General features: G+C 41.0%; 1 pseudogene, 2 gene segments (V, D, J or C) and 1 further gene, besides 12 other annotated features; all 4 read left to right on the forward strand.

Annotated features, from left to right (window-relative positions):
• The window catches only part of TRA (T cell receptor alpha locus), a 930,229-nt gene that overhangs the window by 643,386 nt on the left and 265,568 nt on the right, over nt 1-21,275 (forward strand).
• Nucleotides 460-511: a sequence feature (TRAV37 leader sequence).
• Nucleotides 460-1,884, forward strand: TRAV37 (T cell receptor alpha variable 37 (pseudogene); annotated as a pseudogene). Its single transcript is given in 2 exon segments — nt 460-511; nt 686-1,884. Coding segments are annotated over 2 exon segments (1,251 nt in total).
• Nucleotides 686-696: a sequence feature (TRAV37 leader sequence).
• Nucleotides 983-1,004: a recombination feature (spacer).
• Nucleotides 1,005-1,013: a recombination feature (nonamer).
• Nucleotides 6,682-6,730: a sequence feature (TRAV38-1 leader sequence).
• On the forward strand, nt 6,682-7,274 carry TRAV38-1 (T cell receptor alpha variable 38-1). The segment is given in 2 exon segments: nt 6,682-6,730; nt 6,974-7,274. Coding segments are annotated over 2 exon segments (350 nt in total), but the record flags the coding sequence as incomplete, so codon positions are not given.
• Nucleotides 6,974-6,984: a sequence feature (TRAV38-1 leader sequence).
• Nucleotides 7,282-7,304: a recombination feature (spacer).
• Nucleotides 7,305-7,313: a recombination feature (nonamer).
• Nucleotides 15,862-15,910: a sequence feature (TRAV38-2DV8 leader sequence).
• Nucleotides 15,862-16,459, forward strand: TRAV38-2DV8 (T cell receptor alpha variable 38-2/delta variable 8). The segment is given in 2 exon segments: nt 15,862-15,910; nt 16,160-16,459. Coding segments are annotated over 2 exon segments (349 nt in total), but the record flags the coding sequence as incomplete, so codon positions are not given.
• Nucleotides 16,160-16,170: a sequence feature (TRAV38-2DV8 leader sequence).
• Nucleotides 16,467-16,489: a recombination feature (spacer).
• Nucleotides 16,490-16,498: a recombination feature (nonamer).

The following is a 21,275-nucleotide window of genomic DNA, read 5'->3' on the forward strand; positions in this document are numbered from 1 at the left end:
TGAGGGGAGTGAGGGAGTTTCAGGTGTAAAGGATTTTCAGACAGTCATAACTGGAGAAACTTTCCTTTTAACACTGTTTGCTTTCTTTCTTTTTTGTTTGCTCCTCACCTCTCTGTATGTTCCGTCTACCTTTCATTTCAACATAACGAGTTACTTTATATTAAGGGGGAAATGAAAAAACAATTTTTTTGAGTTCAGACCACCTGGGGGCAGTGCTTCCTTTGACAGAGGCACTGCCAGAAACTAGAACAAGGGGAAGGGAACAGCAGGAGGAGGGCATTCAATGATGTGTGTGATGTAACAGTGAGGTTTTGATTATCCGTAAAAACAATGAAGATTCCCCAAAGGCTACCCAACCAACAGAACCAGAAGACTCTAGAACAGTGAACTAGGCCCAGTGAACACGGCCAAATCTAGGTCTCCAAACTGAATCCACAGAGGCTCCAGGAAAAGGAAAGAATGGAAACTCCACTGAGCACTCTGCTGCTGCTCCTCTGTGTGCAGCTGACCTGTGAGTCAGGCGAGTCATGAGGAGGGGAGGAATCAAGTAGGGGCGGCCAGGGCATTGAAATTTAGAAAGATCCCGGGGACAATCTTGGGTCTAGTCTCAGGAATGTAAAACAAATAATGAAACTGATGAACAAACACACTATATATATGAAAATGTTTCATTCCTCCTAAGCAGGGTCAAATGGACAACTGCCAGTGGAACAGAATGCTCCTTCCCTGAAAGTCAAGGAAGGTGACAGCGTCACACTGAACTGCAGTTACAGAGACAGCCCTTCAGATTTCTTCAGTGGTTCAGGCAGGATCCTGAGGAAGGCCTCATTTCCCTGATACAAATGCTATCAACTGTGAGAGAGAAGATCAGTGGAAGATTCACAGCCAGGCTTAAAAAAGGAGACCAGCACATTTCCCTGCACATACAGGATTCCCAGCTCCATGACTCAACCACATTCTTCTGCGCAGCAAGCACACAGTGCCCACAGTCACCTGCACCCGGTACCTAAAGCTTGCTGAGGGGCCTGGGCACACCTCCTTTTATAAGGGCCCTGGGGCACTGACTATAACTCTGCTGCATACAAAGGGAAATATGAGGGACTGTTTTATAACATAATATCAAACATTTCATTTGAAGACCATGTGAGGAAGGATAGTGTTTTCAAATACCATCTAAAGTACTTTGTTTCTCAGTGTGAGGCCCTTCCTTTGTGAAAACTAGCCCAAAAACTAGAGGCTAAATATCAAAAAGGAGAGAGCACTAAAGAACAAAGAAAGAACAGGGTAAAATTCTTGTCTTTGAGCTTCTTTGTAGACTTTTACAAAGATATAGAAAATACAAAATCTTGAAAGCCATGACCATCAAATTCAGTAGTGAAAGGAAAAATATTTTGACATGCCAAAAAGATTGGCTTAGAAGATCAAGTACCAAAATCTGAGGGAAAATTGTACAAAGCATTTAAAGGAAAAGAGAACACAACATGGTAGAAAAGCTGTCTTCTCCTTAAAAGGGATAAAATGCCAACCAGCTAGCTAGAAAGGAAGTCAATGATGTGAGGAGAGGTCATAAACAGTGAGTCCAGCATCCTGCTCTTTTCTAGGGTCAGAGCTCTGAGCAGGTAGGGTGGGAGGAGGGTGAGTCACATTTAGCAATGACTCTGAACTGAAGGAACAGTGAATTTTGGCAAAAACTGTTTTGATCATTGTGTCTTATATCAATACTCACAAGAAAACGCCCATTACAGAGGAAGCATTCAACAACCATGTGGACAAGACGGTCGGTCCAAAGCATGTCAGCCAGCCAGAGAATGTCTGTGCTTGTCAATTTCTTGAACAATAGACCCATGAATAGATTAGCTGAGGTGACAGATTGAGTTTCTTTATAAGCCCAGAAGCATGGGTTTTCTCCCACCAAGACAGATTCAGCTACTTCTGCTGCTGTCACAGGACTTTTCCTTAGTTCAAAGACAGGGTTCTTTTCCCATGGGCACGAAAATTCAGGCTCGCAAACAATTTGAATGGTGAGTAAGACACGGTTTTATTGGGTGAAGAGGAAGAAAAGGGGGAAACAGGGACTCTTACAAGGCCAGAGTCCCTGCTAGAGCACTTCCCACCCCGCAGTTCGAATCCCAGGTTCCACACAGGAAGAGGAGGAGCCTGGCTCCTCCCCACTGCAAAGGATGCCAACTTCTGCGGCTCCACCCCAGTGCACAGGCTGCTTGGAATTTCTCTAGGGACCCCCTCCCACCTGGCTGTCTCACTACCAAATGTCCACCCTGTCAGCAGTAAATACAACACTGAGCCTTCGATGTGGAATCATCCTTCAAAGGAACCAGCCACACACTAGTTGGCAAGTTGATTACATTGGACCACTTCCAACCTGGAGGTATTAGGAATTTTTTTTCTTCTTAATACATATTCTGGGTGTGAATCTGTGGTCTCCTCCAAAGTGCCACACATAGTTGCATGAACTGATGGCTCAGAGTGTCTCATTGATCATTCTGATCATCAAAGGATTTCACATCCCTTGCATCAACAGACCCACTTTATATCAAGGGCGTGTGACAGTAGTCATGTCATATAGCATATAGCTTCATCATACAGCATTAGCCATGAACCACTAGCCTGATAGAACTTTGGAATGACCACTTAAGGGCCCAGCTAAAGCACCAGCTTAGGGACAGCACCCTGAGGGGCTGAAAAGCTATTCTTTGAGATAGTGTTGTGTCCCTGTTACATAAAATACATGGACCTGGGTAGCAAGGGATGGAAGTAGGACTATCACCCCATCAACCACCACTTTCAGTAACCCACTTTTGTGCTTCCTGTTCTTATAACTATAGGTTCTGCTGGACTAGGGATTCTGTTTCCCTTTGAGGGGGAAAAGGGAGGATGCTGCTTCTACGAGGGAAATAGGTTTTTACCAAACCCAAGATAATATATACTACCTCATAATTTGGGGATCTTCATGCCAGTCCTGGAGGCCAAGAAAGGAGTTACTACTGTCATGGACAAGTTGATCCTGATTATCATGAAGCTAAACCCCATAGCGGAACTGGGGATATATGTCTACAACTCAGGGAATTCACTGTGATGACTTTTAGCACTTTCATGTCAGTGATTATCGTAAATAGGCAACTGTAGCAACTACAGCCTGACAAGAGCAGACTAACCAGGGGCTTATACCCCTCGGTGATGAAGGTCTAGGTTACCTCCCTGGAAAAGAAATCTAGAGCAGTAGAAAAAAATGCTAGCCGAAGGTGGGGAGAATCAAGAATAAGTAGTATAGAAGGTAGATGGAGGAGATAATAAATATGAGTTGCAGTCATGCAACTAACTATAACAAACGTAACTTGTCCCAGTAACCCTCTTGTTGTCAAAACAACATCAACAACAAAAACTAGTGATCTATATGAATTTAACACACAGCACAAGTGGATCTGAGCAAGGCAAGGAGTGAACTGTATAGATACTGTTGGTTCCCTACCTATATCTCCTAGGCAGTCACGCCAACATGCTGGACACCACTCGCTGAAAATCCCAGCAACCCTGAAGATGACTTTGACTTTCTGGCCATGAATGTGGAGGCTGTGGAGGACAAGCCAGAAATGCAAAAGAGTTAATGCCCCAAAAGCAGTTCTTAATCAGTGATAGACAGGGAGTTTAGGCATGATTACTCCAGTTTCTTCATGACTCATTTGGCATAGCTCCAAAGAGTATGCTATGCTGTCTCTTAGAGTTATTGTGACAGGTAGTTAGACAGGCATGAATGGGGCACAAGAGAGCTCTCCCCTCCACCCACCAGGAGTCATCAGGCGATTGTTCGGCAGTTATCACATTACCTCTCTAAAAATGATAATTGGCAGCAAATTATCACTGGCAACTTCCCCAACAGATAAAGACACTTAAGATTGGTAATCAGCTTCCAATAAAATCTCAGGAATTGGTGAGTGAACCCAGCATGTACATTAAGAGACAAAACAGCAGAGTATGACCTTCTGTGGGCACTCCACCAGAAAAAGGAAGAAAGCCTCAGATGTGCATGAGTACAACTTCCTAAACACACTGCTCATGCCCACGTCCCAAGCAGGAAGGAGGGCACTGCACATGCGGGCAGCCCATCCTAAGGGAAGAATCATGGGAAAGGGGCACAAGATGCTGGAGGTAGGTCAGTGTATAAAATCTTAGGATTAAGGTTAAAGGCTGCACTTGTCCTTCCAGTTGTCCGCTTGGGTCTCTTCCAAGTGTACTTTCCTTTCTCTCCTGCTCTAAAGCTTTTTAATAAAATTCCACTCCTGTTCTGAAACTTGCCTTGGTCTTTCATTCTGCCTTATTTCCCTCAGTCAAATTCTTTCTGCTAAAGAGACAAGACTTGAGGTTGCTGCAGACCCATATGGATTCACCACCAGTAACTCAGAGCCTTCTACCCCTAACATTATCCAGCTGCAGAAAGCTGCAATTGCCCATCGTGGTAACTGCCTTGATGGCACATTCTGTATTGGCTTCCTTCCTTCCCTGATTTACCTCTTACCCATGTCTTGCAAACAAAAAAGAGTTAAACTCTGTAAAATAGTTAAAGAGGTTGATTCTGAGCCAAATATGAGTGACCATGGCCCATGACACAGCCCTCAGGAGGTTCCGAGAACATGTGCCCAAGGTGGTCGCAGTGCAGCTTGGCTTATACATTTTAGGGAGGCATGGGACTTCAATCAAATACATTTAAAAAATACATTGGTTTGATCCAGGAAGGTGGGACAACTCAAAGCAAGGGGCAAGGGGGTCAGTGGGAGTGAGGAGCTTCCAGCTTATAAGTAGATTTAATATTTTTCTGGTTGACAATTGGTTGAGTTTATCTAAAGACCTGGAATTAATAGGAAATGTCTGTATTGCGATAAGAGGTTATAAAGACCAGAGTTTGGTCAGGCAGATGAATCTTCCAAGTAGCAGGTTTCAGAGAGAATGGATTGTAAATGCTTCTTATCAGACTTCAGGTCTGTGTTGATGTTAATGCCAGAGAGGTATGATGAAGCATGTCTGACCCCCACTTCCCATTCTGGCCTGAACCAATCTCTCAAGTTGAATTTTAAGAGAGCCCTGGCCAAGAAGGAAGTCCACTCAGATGGTTGCGGGGGGCTGGGGGGCCTTAGAATTTTATTTTTGATCTACAGTTTCCTAGAATCACCTATAATAAACTATTTACACACAAATTATTGTGTCGAAGCTGACTTTTAGGGATCCAAAACCAAGATACAGGAATTCAAATCATGAGACAAGGGTGAAGATTATCCAGAAGAAATGTTGGTGCCCCTTCTCTTATTGCTACCAAGCTGAGCTTTGCAGCACAAGGGATTTTAGCAGTCTCATTCAGGATGGGCCCCAGTGCTTACAAACTCCTTAAGCATCTCTCTGAGAGGGGACACTCAGCCACCTACCTCTGTGACAGAGAACTCATGCTCCTCACACAGCACCCAGTACATAACAGGGCCCCCATTCATAATGCCCAGTTTGGGGACCCCAACTCAGGAATTACATAAGGATCCCTGATGCTCCCTCTGGAAATGCAAAATTCTAAAGAATCAGAGTAAGGTATTTAAAAAGAGTTTTTTTCACAATATTTTTTCAAAATGGAATGAAAATGATAAGAGCAATTCTTGATATAAATATAAATTAAGCTGAGGCAATTTAGTGCTGATGAGAACTTCTGCAATAGTTATTTCAGAGCTTCTTGATATAGCATAAACAAGGTGGTTTTGTTTATTTGTTTGTTTGCGTTTGTTTTTTGAGATGGAGTTTCACTCTTGTCGCCCAGGCTGGAGTGTGGTGGCACAAACTCAGCTCACTGCAACCTTTGCCTCTCAGGTTCAAGCGATTCTCTGACCTCAGCCTCCTAAGTAGCTGGGATTACAGGCATGTACTACCATGCCCAGCTAATTTTTGTATTTTTAATAGAGATGGAGTTTAACCATGTTGCCCGGGATGGTCTCGAACTCCTGACCTCAAGTGATCTGCCCACCTCGGCCTCCCAAAGTGCTGGGATTACAGGTGTGAGCCACCATGCCTGGCCAACAAGATTATTTTTTTAATCCATGTAAAATGTGAACACAATTACACACTACATATTCTGCTTTTACTTATCTCTGAATTTAGTCGATGCTCTTTTCAGCCACAAGCATATATCTTTTTTCTCATTCTTTATTTTGAGAAATTATAAAAATGTAAAAAAATTGAATATAAATAGGCATATTCTTATCACTCAAAATTAAGTGTCCTTATTTCATAAGATTTGCTTTGTAATTTTTTTTAATAAGAAGAAAAATAAAATCACAGTTTGCCATTTGTTGTGAATGGAGTCAGAGGCTTCTGCTCACCATTCTGGATCACGCTCTCCTCTCCAAGATTAGGTCGTATTAAAAACAAATTTGCCAGCTCCATTTTCTCTTTATTTTTCTTCTAGGCTAACTAAAAGCACTCCAGAAACATTTTTTATTTTCATTTGAAATTATAACCAGAGGCCTATTTTCTGAGAGACCAAAAAGTATTCAGAAATGTTTCCCTCCTTGAAACCTAGTCACCCACCCACCTATCATAGCATTTCCTGCCCTGAAGGAGAATTCTCACCAAGCACAGAGGAGAACCCATCAGAGCAGGAGACTTTTCACTCTGCAGGGGAGCGCTGTCAGCATGACACGAGTTAGCTTGCTGTGGGCAGTCGTGGTCTCCACCTGTCTTGGTAAGGAAGATGTGGTTCTTTCTTTATAAAGGCATCTAATGGGGCTGTGAAGCAGGAGGGATTAACAGAACAGCAACTGCATTGCCTCTTAGAGCCCAGCTACCTGGAGGCAGAAATATGCTGCCTGAGGCTAGAATCACAAAGAAAGGTGTGTGGGAATGGGGAATGGGAATCAGCTTGTGAGTCTGTTTCTCACTCACACGTGATATCCCAGTGAAGTCCTTTCTCTCCTATTTTCCACAGAATCCGGCATGGCCCAGACAGTCACTCAGTCTCAACCAGAGATGTCTGTGCAGGAGGCAGAGACTGTGACCCTGAGTTGCACATATGACACCAGTGAGAATAATTATTATTTGTTCTGGTACAAGCAGCCTCCCAGCAGGCAGATGATTCTCGTTATTCGCCAAGAAGCTTATAAGCAACAGAATGCAACGGAGAATCGTTTCTCTGTGAACTTCCAGAAAGCAGCCAAATCCTTCAGTCTCAAGATCTCAGACTCACAGCTGGGGGACACTGCGATGTATTTCTGTGCTTTCATGAAGCACACAATGAGATGAGCAGCAGGGAGAGGCTTACAGAAACCTCAGACCTCAGCATCTGTGCAAAGGTCACAGGGTGAGAGGGAAGTGGTAGGGTAATAGGTATAGAAAATCATTGACTTCTCTTGGAAATGAAAGCTTCTCCTATTTCTTCTCCTGTAAGAAACTCAGAGAGATGGCTGTCTGCAAGCTTCAATCCTTAAAGTTACATAAAGATAATGACGTGTGCAGTGCATTCCAGTTTTACAAGGTGCCTTCACTAAGGTACTTATTACAGGTCAGATTTCCTAAGCATTTTCTCTGTCCAGAAAATTTTTATAATTTGCCTGGGCATTCTTACCTCCAGGAATTTTAAACCTTTTCCATTTGTTAATTGTTGCTTGTCCTTTTATTTGTCCATCTGGTCCAAAACTGCATCTCCTCCGAATAAGGTACCCATTTTAGAACACAACAGGTGTGACAACGGTGGCATAACCACGAAGGGGACTTGCTGGGCCCACCAGACTCAAGAGATGACCTAGGTCCACTGCAGTAGAACCTAGAAGAATGATGAAAAGGCTTTAAAATGCTCCGCTGAAGGGCCAGCTCGTGGGCAACACCTCAGTGGTTGGAATGCTATGCTTCAGAAAATGATAATATTCGTTAAACCACTGGCTGATTCATGGTGTCGTGGCAAAAGTTTAGAAACCAAGAAATAGACATAGAATAGAGTCTTCTCCTATCACTCCCTATAAGTCATTTTCAGAATTCGTGTTTCCCTTTCCCACAACCCTAGGTTCTGCTAGATTAGAGGTCCTAGTTCCCAAAGAAGGATGCTCCCTTCGGGGATTCAGTAACCTGCAGCTATGGCTGCCACTTTTAGGTCACTCTGAACTCTCTGTGCCAATAGCCCAGCAGGCAAAGAGAGGAGCTATTAGACCAGAAGGGGTCATTGACCCTGACTGTCATGGAGCACCAGGTTGTTGTGACACAAGGAGGGTGAGGAGGAATGTGGCTATAATGTAAGTATTTCACATTGGTGTCTCCTGATGTTTCCGTGCCCAATACAAACAGCAAGCGGCAGTTCTTGTAGCAGCAAGGCCTGAAAAGGGCAACGTGACCAAGAACTGAGACTCTTCAGCAATGAAGTTTTCAAGAACAGAAGCTCATGTCATGCAACCTTCCTGTATTAAGGGCGTTGAAGAGATTGCAGTCAGAGGCAACCTTGAAGACACAGTGACACAGTGGAAATAATATAGGGCAAGCATGCATCTGAGTAGTGCAAAGAAAGGACTGTAACTGATATATGCGCCCTGTTGCCCCATCCGAATGTCTGTCTGATTTTAGCTGGAGTTATAGTAGACAATCACACTCACGTCATGCTGGTAACATCCAGCGTTAAGCACACTCTGTGTTTTGTTATGTTATGTTTTGTTTTGTTTTGTTGCTTTCTATCCCAAAGTCTTCTCTAATGTCTCAGGAGATCCCTTAGTTTAAGGGCAAGCACAGCCTGAAATTATAGGGAAACTACCACCCCTGTTGGCAAACACCAACCAATGGGGAAAAAGAGCCAGGGAATAAACGCACTAGCTTTGCGTCCCTTAAATAGACAATTCTGAGCGGCAACCTGTGTGCTTCTTGGGAGATCCTACCAGAACCGAGTCCCACTTGAGTCAGTTATTGCTCGACCCACTTTCTTCTTTTATAACTTATTTTTATAGATCAAGGGAGTACAAGTGCCACTTTTGATACATGGATATATTGTGTAGTGGTGAAGTATGGGTTTTCAGTGTAACCATCACCTGAATAGTGTACATTGTACTCATTAGGTACTTTTCATTCCTCATTCTCCTCCCACACTCCCACCTTTTCAAGTCTCAATGTCTGTTATCTTTGTCCATGTCTATGCATTATTTAGCTCCCATTTATAAGTAAGAAATGTAGTATTTGAATTTCTGTTTCTGAGTTACTTCACTTAAGATAATGGCCTCCAGTTCCATCCATGTTGCTATAAAAGACATGAGTTTATTCTTTTTATGGCTGAGTAGTATTCCATGGTGTGTGTGTGTGACATTTTCTTTATTTAATCATCCATCCATTGATGGACACTTAGGTTGATTCCATATCTTTTCTATTGTGAATAGTGCTGTGATAAACATAACAGTGAAGTTATATTTTTGATATAATAATTTCTTTTTGTGGGGGTAGATACCCAGTAGTGAGATGCTGGGTTGAAGAGTAGTTCTATTTTTAGTTCTTTGAGAAATCCCTATACTGTTTTCCACACAGGTTGTACTGATTTACATTCCCACCAACAGTGTATATGTGTTACCAAACATCTGTTGTTTTCTGACTTCTTATTAATAGCCATTCTAACTGATGTGAGATGGTATCTCATTGTGCTTTTAATTTGCATTTATCTGATGATTAGTCGTGTTGAGCATTTTCTCATGTTTGCTGACCATTTGTACGTCTTCTTTGAGAAATGTCTGTTCATGTCCTTTGCACACTTTTCAATGGGCTTATTTGTTTCTTGCTTGTTGAGTTGTGTGAGTTCCTTGTAGATTCTGGATATTAGTCCTTTGTTGGATGCATGGTTTGCAAATGTTTTCTCTCATTCTGTAGGTTGTCTCTTTACTCTCTTGATTATATATTGTGTGGTACAGAAGCTATTTAGTTTAATTAAGTCCCATTAGTCTATTTTTTGTTTCGTTGCATTTGTTTTAAGATCTCAGTCATAAATTCTTTGCCTAAGCCAAGATCCAGAAGAGTTTTTCCCAGGTTTTCTTACAGAATTTTTATAGTTTCAGGTTTTATATTTAAGTCTTTAATCCATCTTGACTTTATAGTAAGAGAAATGGATCCAGTTTCATTCTTCTGTGTATGGCTAACTAATTTTCCCAGCACTATTTATTGAATAGGGTGTCCTTTCCCCAGTGTATGTCTTTGTCTACTTTGTCAAAGATCAGTTAGTTGTAGGTATGTGGCTTTATTTCTGGGTTCCATATTCTGTTCCATTGATCTGTGTGTCTATTTTTCATACAAGTACCATGCTATATTGATACTATAGCCTTGTAGTATCATTTGAAGTCAGGTGATATGATGCATCAAGATTTTTCTCTTTGCTTAGGATTGCTTTGGCATTCAGGCTGTTTTTTTGTTTCATATTGATTTTAGCATTTTTTCCTAATTCTGTGAAAAGTAATATTGGTATTTTGATAGGCATTGCATTGAATCTACATATTGCTTTGGGCAATATGGTCATTTTAATAATATTGCTTTTTCCAGTTTATAAGCATGAGAGGTTTTTTCATTTATTTGGGTTATCCACAATTTCTTTCATCAGTGTTTTGTAGTTTTCCTAGTAGAGATCGTTTACCTTTTTGTTTAAGTGTATTTCTAGGTATTATTTTGTGGCTATTATAAATGGGATTATTTATTTTGTGGCTATTATAAATTTAGTTTGTAGCTTGGTTGTTACTGATGTATAGAAATATTACTGATTTCATACATTGATTTTGTATCTTGAAACTTTACTGAATTCACTTATCAAATCTGGGAGTCTTTTGGAGGAGCCTTGAGGGTTTTCCAGGTATAAGACATATCATCAGCAAACAGATAGTTGGACTTTTTCTTTTCCAGTTTGGATGCCTTTTATTTCTTTCTCTTACCAATTGCTCTGGCTAGGACTTCTAGCACTATTTTGAATAAAAGTGGTGAGAGTGGGTATCCTGCTTTACCCATTTTCTCACTCCTGCTTCCTGAGATCACTTCCTAAATAAACTACCTGCACCCAAGGTAGTTTCAGGCTCTGTCTTGGGGGGAAATCAAACTAATACAGGGAATCTTTGGAAATCCAAAGATTCTTTGAAAATTTAACAAAGAAAGAACAGAGGAGAGTTCAAGGTGAACCTTACTGGGCTAAGCTAATAAAGGTAAGTGTGTACTTGAGTGAGAAATTGTAAAAAAAAGATGATGAGGCAGATCGCATTTACTAAACTCCAATCTCTGCAGATATGTGATTACGTCTTTTCAGTGTTCAAAAACTTTACTTTCCAAGTTTAAGCTCTTTCAACTGTCTCTCATTTCCCCTTCCCAAATCTTCTGACCCTTTACTATTTAAACTTCATTCCTAGTTATTCCCAAAATACGTCTCTCTTCTAGTCAGTTTATTCCCCTTACTGGCTCATAAGGACTTAAAGCTCATTGCTGGCTCTAGCATTTCTCTACTGGTTGCTCCACCCACCCAAATTTCCCTTTTGTGTATATTTCAGACTGCTTAAACCATATTAATCTTATAATGACCACCAGAAATCTCTCTTCCCTCTAAGATTTCTTCTCTAATAATCAAACAATCCTTTAATTCCTTCTCTTCCAAATGTCATACAGTACCAACTGTGGACCAAACAATCCGACTCTTACTGACATACCTTCCTAAGACATTTGCTGTTGTTTCAAGGTACTCATCTTTCCTCCCCAAATACATTATATTCTCTATGTAGATAGAGTTTGCCTTGTACCCTTCACAATTCCTCACTGCTCTTAGCACAGTACTAAGCACATAATAAGTGCTGATAAGGCACAAATATGCTTAAGGTTTAAATTATAATCATGCTATATTTCTGAAAGAATATGAAGGAAAAGAAACAGGTTTCTCTGAGGAGGTAAGATGTGATAGAAGGTAGAATTTAAGAAAGCAGTGATAAAGGAAAGGACAGATACATTTCAAACATCCAAGTCTTTTGATTTAGTGGAAACATAAATCTGAAACTGGTAAAAAGATTACTTTTAGAATACATTTCTTACTAAACCAAGTTCTTTCCATACAGAAAATCCTAGAAACTGCCTCTGTAATTATCTCTTTGATCTGAAGAGGGCACTGTTTGCTCCTGTTGATAGCAGTTACTTACAAAAAACCGATCTCATTTTGAAGAATCCGCTATTCCTAATACATACAAAATAACTAGAACAAATCCTATGTTATCCGTAGAGTCTAGGTCAGATTTCCACATTCTGGAATCAAGTTTTCCACCAATTAAAAAGGTCAAACCATGGAGGAGCTTTTAGGAACTGTATTTGTGATCTGGTGGCTTTGGCCTGGGTGAGAGCTGAGTGAATTCATTTCATCAGGGACACAGAGGACTCAGAAGGTTCTGAGAACTAGTCTCTATATTTTACAGAAGGGATTCAAAGAATAAATAAAACATTTAATTTACCCTTTATTTAATTTACCCTTAATTCATCTTTTTTAAGAAAATTTGCTATCAAATGAAGGAAGAGGAATGCTCTTCTGACCATCTGTCCAGAGAGACACAACCAATCTCTGTTCTCCAGAGAGACAGAGCCAATAGGATGAATATATAGATATATGAGAGGGGATTTATTAGAAGAATTGGCTCATGCAATTATGGAGGCTGAGGAGTCCCATGACAGACTGTCTGCAAGCTGGAGAACCTGGGATGCTGGTAGTAGTGTGACTAGTCCAAATCCAAAAGCCTGAGAACCCAGGGGGCCACTGGCATAAATCCTACAGTCCATAGGCCAGAGATCCCAGAGTTCTTGTGTCTAAGGGCAAGAGAAAAAGAGTGTATCCCAGCTCCAGGCAAGAGAAAGACCAAGTTGCTTTTCCTAGGTTTCTGTTCTATCCAGGCCTCTAGCAGATTGGATGCCCACACTGAAGATGGATCTTCCCCATGTATTCCACTAAGACTCACAAGCCAATGTCCTCTAGAAACACCCTCATAAACACACCCAAAAATAATGCTTTACCAGTTCTCTAGGTATTCCTTAATTCCGTCAAGTTGACGCCTAAAATTAACTATCACACCATCCATGAAGGAAAGATGTTTTGTCATCTACTATAATTATTTGAACAATGTTTCAGATCCATGGGACAGAATGAAAAAGATCTAGAATAAATCTGATGTCTTTGTTTCTGTTCTTGTTAACTAGGGTTTTGTAGTGCAGGGGAAGATAAGCAGCCTCCTTCAGTGCTAGTACCAGCTCCCTCTCCCTGAACCACAAGACCACCCAGTCGAGGGACTTAGCCATCTATGTCTGTGCTGCAGGGAACCTACATGCCCCTGAAAGCACCTAAATGCACCACCCCCTCCACCCTGCATTGGGACCTCCACTCAGGGGTTAGTAAACCATCTTCATCACCTCCTCTGACCAAAAGAATATTGTAAATGAATGTAACAAATCAGAGAAAATCTTTTCTAAAAGACTTTTAGAAAGCTTTTTGTTCACTGTATTATCAGATAAGGAATTCAGAGTCATGAGAACCCTGATCATGAGCTGTCTGAGGTGATTAGGACCAGGGACCCTGAGTGTTCTTTCGTCAAGACCCACTCATCTAAGAGGGGCTGTCTCAATGATTGGAGCGGCTTCTCCCACTTGTGCCATTAATTGCTGGTATGCCTCAGTTTTTGCATCTGTAAAAATTCTCCCACGAGAACCTGAGAGTAGGCGTGTGATACTCACATATTTTTCTCCTAGTTTTTACTTTTTATAGTCTAACTAGCTAACTCCAGTAAGAAATCCCATGATGGTAGTTGCCAGATAGGGTTGATATCCCAAGGGAGCACAGTAAAATTTCTCAGACTGCCCAGAAGGGGTTCTGCTTCCACAAAAAAGCAGCCGTCTGCCCACCCCACCCGTATTTGCCCACTTGCAAGTTCTTTTATATACATCGCTTTATTTGGTCTTCAATGTTCAATAATTTGATTAACTGTGGAAGTTGGAACTGATTGAATGATAAATACAAGATACTAAAGTTCTGATTGCATAGGTCCCAGAGGATCACAAAAAAGATCTAAAGTGGCAAGATCTATCTATGGCCACACCACCCCAAATGTGCCCAATCTCATCTAAAATGGCAAGATCCATTCAGCATTGCAGCACTGGAATCCCCAGTCAGCATTGCAGTTGCAGGCCCAGTGAGCCCAGGCAAGAGGCGGAAAACATTTACTCTTGAGACCCTAATTAGTGAACTCATAGATAGCTGCAGCTGGCCTGAGACTGGGAGAGAAGACAGCCCAATCGTCTGGAGCTTCCTATACAGACTAGAGAGTGGTGGCACATGCCTGTAGTCCCAGCTACTCGGAAAGCTGTGGTGGGAGCATCACTTGAGCCCAGGAGGTTGAGGTTGCATAATTGCGCCACTGCACTCCAACCTGGGTGACAGAGTGAGACCCTGTCTCAAAAGAAAAAAAAAGAGAGGAGAAGGGGGTAAATTGTAAAATAATAGCATATTTGCCAATTTCCTGTGAATTTGTCCAGAAAATAGTAGGTAGTGCAGAAATTTAACACCACGCAAACAAGAAAAGTAGACCACCTATGGAAGAAACTCAACATGCTGTACTTTAAGAAGTCCTCCGGAGTTAAGAACGGCTGTGGCAAAATGCCCACTGTTAGCACCATTTCCAAGTGGAAATAATAAATGGGAAGGGAGAGTTAAGACCACCACTCCCTATACGGCAAGTCAGCTTTTAATTTAGTCTTTTATTCTCCTTCTTGTTTTACAGGGGGAAAAGTTTACATAAAGCTGAACTATACAGAAGCCTTATCTAAGATTGGATGACACAAATTAAATAGGGAGAGAAAATTAATGCAAATGAAACTAGTAGTTCTCTGTATTGTGAGTTTTCATTTTTGCTCTGTTGCCTCTTCTATAAAATGCAGACTAATTCCTGACCTTTCCTCCCTCAAAGAAGAATGTGTGCATGAGGAAAAAATCAGATGCCAATGAAAAGCTGTCAGATGTGCAACACAGAATGTTCCCAAATGAATTTTATGTTGATTGTTCTGAGTCTTCTTTCACAAAGTCATTAACAGAAGCTCACAAAAGCCCTTGCCACCAGTATTGTAGAGCTCCTTGACACAGCCAAAATCAGGTATTCTTTTTTTAAAAAAGAAAGTCTTCAGCAAATTACAGTATAATTAGATATCAAAAGTCTGGTTTCAATTTTCTCTAGACTATCTGAATGTTATTGTTGTTGTCATTATTTTTCATCATTTCTCAAAGTATTAAAATACAATTTGGTCAAACAATAATATAACCAATACCTGTATTATCATAACCCAGAGATAATTTTCTGATATTGGCTTCAAGACAGAGGAGGGAAAGAAAAAAAGGAAAGAAGGAAGGAAGAAAAAAAAAAGGAAAAAAGAGGAGTAAGGGGAAGGGAAAGAGAAGGAAAGACGGGAAGGAAAGAGAGAGAAAGAGAGAGAGAAAGGAAAGACAATAAAAGCTTATAGAGAAAACTGAAGTCACAGCATTAGCTTGGCCTGTCTTTTCCCCACCCATCTCATTCTCCTATCCAAATTATGTCTTTAAAAAACAATGTATCAGCTCCCTTTCCTCTTCATGTTTATTCCCAAATAAATTACAGTTCCAACAACATCTTTTTTCGTTAAATATTATGGTCCAAGTTTTATTCTCTGAAGCAAAAGACAAAAAGTATCGAAGAGCTTTCCCTAAGGGAGACATCATAAACAGCCCACCTGACATCCCATTTCCTGTTCTGAAGCAGCTACGGCACCAGTGCAGCTGATACTCAAGGTTCAGATCAGAAGAGGAGGCTTCTCACCCTGCAGCAGGGACCTGTGAGCATGGCATGCCCTGGCTTCCTGTGGGCACTTGTGATCTCCACCTGTCTTGGTAAGGAAGGCGCATGTATTCACCTTAACTAGTATTCAATAGAACAGAGAAGTGGGAAGAAAGATTAATAGTGCAAGAATCTAATCTCTTCACTGGGCCCAGCTATTAGGGGCAAGAAAGCTGATGGATTTTGTCAGAGGTTTGGATCAAGAGGAAGAAAGGCGGGTGGCAATGGGAACAGGCTTGTGAGTCTGTTTCTGTCTCTCACATGGTATCCCAGTGAAGTCCTTTCTCTCCTCTTTCCCACAGAATTTAGCATGGCTCAGACAGTCACTCAGTCTCAACCAGAGATGTCTGTGCAGGAGGCAGAGACCGTGACCCTGAGCTGCACATATGACACCAGTGAGAGTGATTATTATTTATTCTGGTACAAGCAGCCTCCCAGCAGGCAGATGATTCTCGTTATTCGCCAAGAAGCTTATAAGCAACAGAATGCAACAGAGAATCGTTTCTCTGTGAACTTCCAGAAAGCAGCCAAATCCTTCAGTCTCAAGATCTCAGACTCACAGCTGGGGGATGCCGCGATGTATTTCTGTGCTTATAGGAGCGCACAGTGAGACAAGCAACAGGGAGAGGCTTACAGAAACCTCAGACCTCAGCATCTGTGCAAAGGTCAGGGGGAAGTGTTCAGGGTTATAGGAACATAAAGAGGAAATAATTGTCTTCCCTAAAGAAAAAAAAATGTATCTGACTATAGGAAACACAGAGGGGATGTCTATAAGCTGTAATTTTTGAAATAGTAATAAAATAATGAATCCACACATGCCTTATAGATTTTCAAAGTACCTTCACATGTTAATCCATTAAACCTGCATAAGCCTGTGTGTTACATAGGTCAGATCAGATATTCTAAGGATCACTGCTATCCAGAGAATCTTAGAGCTTGACCTAAAGCTATATTCTTTTAGAATTATATATTTTTGCTTTATTATTTTAATTACTATCTATCTGTACATCCCATGATCATATCAAAGTCAATATATCCAAAACTGAATTTCTTACCATCTCCACAAACCTTTATTTTTTCTTCATTTTTTTCTCCTCAGCCTTGCTCAAGATTCAGGAACACAATAAAAGTTTGCTATTGCTGGGTTTCCAGTTTGGGGAATTTCTTCACCCTCGACTTTCCAGCCTGGGCTATCAGATTTTTATGCATACCTTATTACATTCTAATTATAAAATGGTGCAAAAAAAAACACTACATCATGTCAGTCTCACTGTTTCCCCTCTATCCGTCATTCTTTCTGACTTTAACCTGGCTTAATCCTGTATTTCTTAACGTTCTTTAAAGCATCATTTGTCTTGACATAAGAAAGTAAGGAAAGAAAGCAAACGACTGTCAAGTAGGATTTCATGTACTGCTAGTACTCACCAGCAAACGCTAAAAAAAAAAAAAAAAGAGGAAGTTAACTTCTGGTAATGCTATAATTGCTTCTGGTAAGGCAACCTAGCAGGTGGTGACAATTTTGATAAACCTGGTCCAACAGGGAGACCAAGCAGCTGCCATGGTCCAAGTCTCCACCCCTATGTCTTCTGAGAATTGGGAGATGCCTGGACCGTGAGAGGATTCTCCCTTATGCTAAGGGAAAAATTAAAATAAATGAAAAAAATAATGCCAACATTTCTTTTTATGCCCACAATTCCCCCAATACATCTCCTTCACTATTAAGCCCCTTGTGGAGCATTTTATTCCATCTGCTCACTGTGGGTGGCGAGAGGAAGTTTGGAATGACAAACAGCCGAAATAATTAAGTCCAATAAGCAGGCTCCAGAGCTTAGGCTGGGGGTCTGTTTGGAATGAGTGGTGAGAGTGACTGGATGTGGAAGAGGGTAAGGGGAGGCCAAGACCAAACTGCAGAATCATAATTCAGATTGCCGAGTCATTTCCCAAACACAGCAGCTTCAGTAACGCCACACCCTAGCCCAGCTTAGCACCCAGGCTTCTGCTTGTCTGAAAAAGTGGGGTAGGCACCAATCAAAATGAAAACCTTTCTCTCACACGAGGAAGACACCTTCAGGCTATTCAGGTTTTGTCCTCCCTTTTACCCCTGAGGCCCATGAGTCACCCAGACTTAGATTCGGGCTAGTTACCAAGTTTCATATCAAAGCTCACTTCTTTCTATCCTTGCTTCTAGTGCTTTCACGCAGCTCCTCTCATTTGAATTAATAAATAATCATTAATCTACTCTCTCTACCTTCGATTGTGTCCTCTTTTAATATGGTTTAGCTGTGTCCCCACTCATATCTCAACTTGAATTGTATCTCCCAGAATTCCCACATGTTGTGGGAGGGAACCAGGGGGAGGTAATGGAAACATGGGGGCTGGTCTTTCCCATGCTATTCTCATGATAGTGAATTAAGTCTCACAAGATCTGATAGGTTTATTGTGGGTTTCTGCTTTTGCTTCTTCCTCATTTTTCTCTTGCCGCCGCCATGTAAGAAATGCCTTTCACCTCCCACCATGATTCTGAGGCCTCCCCAGCCATGTGTAACTCTAAGTCCAATTAAACCTCTTTTTCTTCCCAGTCTCAGGTATGTCTTTATTGGCAGGGTGAAAACAGACTAAAATACACCCTTCAAACATTGCTTCACATAGCTGTCCCAGTGAGCATCCTATAATAAAAATCAGATCATGTACACACACCTCTGCCTCAATAAAGCCTCATTTCCCACAGAAAGGCCCAGTGATTATTTAGAATATAAGTCCATCAAAGCGGAGGCCACCACTGTATCTCCAGCACTTACCATGCCTAACAGGGTAAATGGTCAGGGTCATCTACTGATGGATTAATTAGTCTGTACCCTGCTTAGCAACTCAGCCTCATTTGTTGCCATATTCCCATCCCCCCAAACTGTACACGCCCATCCGCTCAGCAAATGAAATTGTTTCCTGCATCTATGCCTTTGCCAGCATTGTCCCCTCAGCATGGAATGCCCATCCCCAATTAACCACTTGCCTATTATTTGAAAGGTTCGCAAACCTCCCCTCTTCTCTGAATCCTTGTCCTGACCCTTTTGCACTGGTAGAACTGATCACTTTCTCCTTTATCTCCTAACTGAAACCCTAAGCATATTTCTAACGTGGCAAATCCAACACCTTATGGTGTTTACAGGTATTTTTCACTGTCTCCCCACTAAAATGCAAACTGTTAGTTACCAAGGACACAGTTTTACCCATTTCAATAGCAACTGTGCCTCCAACAATCTTTAATTCACAGAAATGATTCTTAAGTTTTTTGAATGAAGGTAATTAATTGATGGGCATTTTCCTCATTAAACATTATAGAGTAAAAATGGATAAATTTTCTATTTTGTTATCTCCTCCATAGTTGTGTTAACTCAGAATTCTGAGCTAACTCATAGGACTGTAAGGCATGTCAAAAATTAATAGTAACAACAGTATCATGCTGATAATAAAAATATTAGTAGTAGCTAACAATTATTGAGTATATATATATATATATATATGCGCCCCATATTCTGAGAGGTGCATGACATGCTTTATTTCATTTAGTAGTCCCAACAAATCCATGCTGTAGCTACTATTGATATCCCAGTTTTATATGAAGAATTAATATAGGTTCAAAGAGGCCAAAATGCCTAGAATCACACAATGTACGACTCCCTGACCACTGGCCTTTTTCCCTTCCCAAAGGGTGGCAAACTGCTATAGCATCTCAGTCTTATTAATGTAATAGACACATAGAACATAAGAAAGAAATTCATGAAAACAGTGCTGCACCATACATGCACTTGTAGTCCTCACTTTTTCTAGAGTAGTAATTGCAAGATGAGACTTATTTCAAGTATCCTTATTAATAGAAGTTAAATGTAAAAATAACACTATTACCATTATTGTTTACATAGGAAATTTTTGCCTTTTTAACATTAGTTTATAATTATTTGACCTGGGACTATACAATATTTTAAACTTCTTCAGTGCATTTTTCAATAGCGTTTAAGTTTAAAATGCAGTCTTTGGCAGGGGCATTAATAAATGTTTCAAATGTCATTTTGTATAACTCTTTAAAGAATACAAGAGTTTAGAAGAAATTTCTAACCTTTCCAAGTTATCTGAATTTCCAAGTTATCATAGGAAGATCCTTCCTTTGTAACTTTTAAAACTTTTTTGTATATGGTTGGGCGTTTCTATGAATGATGCTTTTCAATTTTTTTTGCTTCAGTGAAAAATTATATATTGTGAAAGCTTTCCCACATAAACAAGCAGTTTTTCTATAGCATGAGTTTCCCATGGCTACAAGATATTGTATTTTTGAAATACACCTCATTTTACCCAATAACTTGAGGTTTTTTTTGTTTTTTTTTTTTGTTTTTTTTTTTTTCAGATGGAGTCTCACTCTGTCACCCAGGCTGGAGCACAGTGGTGCAATCTCAGCTCACTGCAACCTCCCACAGCCAGGTTCAGGTGATTCTCCTTCCTCAGCCTCCCAAGTAGCAGGGATTACAGGTGCGCACCACCATGCACAGCTAATTTTTGTATTTTTAGTGGGGGTTTCCTCATGTTGGCCAGGCTGGTCTCAGACTGCTGACCTCAAGTGATCCGCCCACCTCGGCCTCCTAAAGTGCTGGGTTTGCAGGCGTGAGCCTCTGTGCCCGGCCTAACTTGAGTTATTGATCGAGTAAATCAATGAATACAGTAAGCATGATAAGTACATTGTTTCCAAATTGGAGCTATAATAAGTAAAACTGTAATTTTAAAAAGATACTTGTACATAAAATAGTATGCAAGTAAGAGAGAGCCCAGATCAAAGTAACCGAAGCAAAACAAAACAAAACAAAAATCTGTTGGCTAATAAAACTGAAAAATCTGGGTTAACTACTTTAGGAAGGACTGACCAAATGCTCAAATAATGTCACCACAGCGTGTCTCTATCGTTTGGCTCTTGTTTATATTGGCTTTACTCTGAAGAAAGCTCAGGCCCACATGATGGCAAAGATGGCCGCCAGGAGCCTCAGACTTGTGTCCTACTGTGTTAGTTTCCTCCTGCTGCTGTAACAAATTATCACAAACATGGTGGCTTGAACAATATTACTTTATTATCCTACAGTTTGGGAGCTCATAAGTCTCACTGCACTAACACAAAGGTGTTGGCAGGGCTGTGTTCCTTCTATAGGCTCTAGGGGAGACTGAGTGAAATCCTGAGCATCCCTGGCTTCTAGAGGCTGCTGCGTGCCTTGGCTCATGGCCCTCTTCCATCTTCAAAACTAGAAATCGCAGCACTGTGACCTCTACCACCATTGTCTCATCTCCTGTCACCCTCATGGCCCTCCTGAGCCTTGATCCTTGAGATTACATTGAGATCCCCCACATATTCCAGAATAATCTTCCCATCTTAAGATTCTT

The sequence above is a fragment of the Homo sapiens genome, chromosome 14, assembly GCF_000001405.40.
Source record: "Homo sapiens chromosome 14, GRCh38.p14 Primary Assembly".
Classification (NCBI taxonomy): domain Eukaryota; kingdom Metazoa; phylum Chordata; class Mammalia; order Primates; family Hominidae; genus Homo; species Homo sapiens.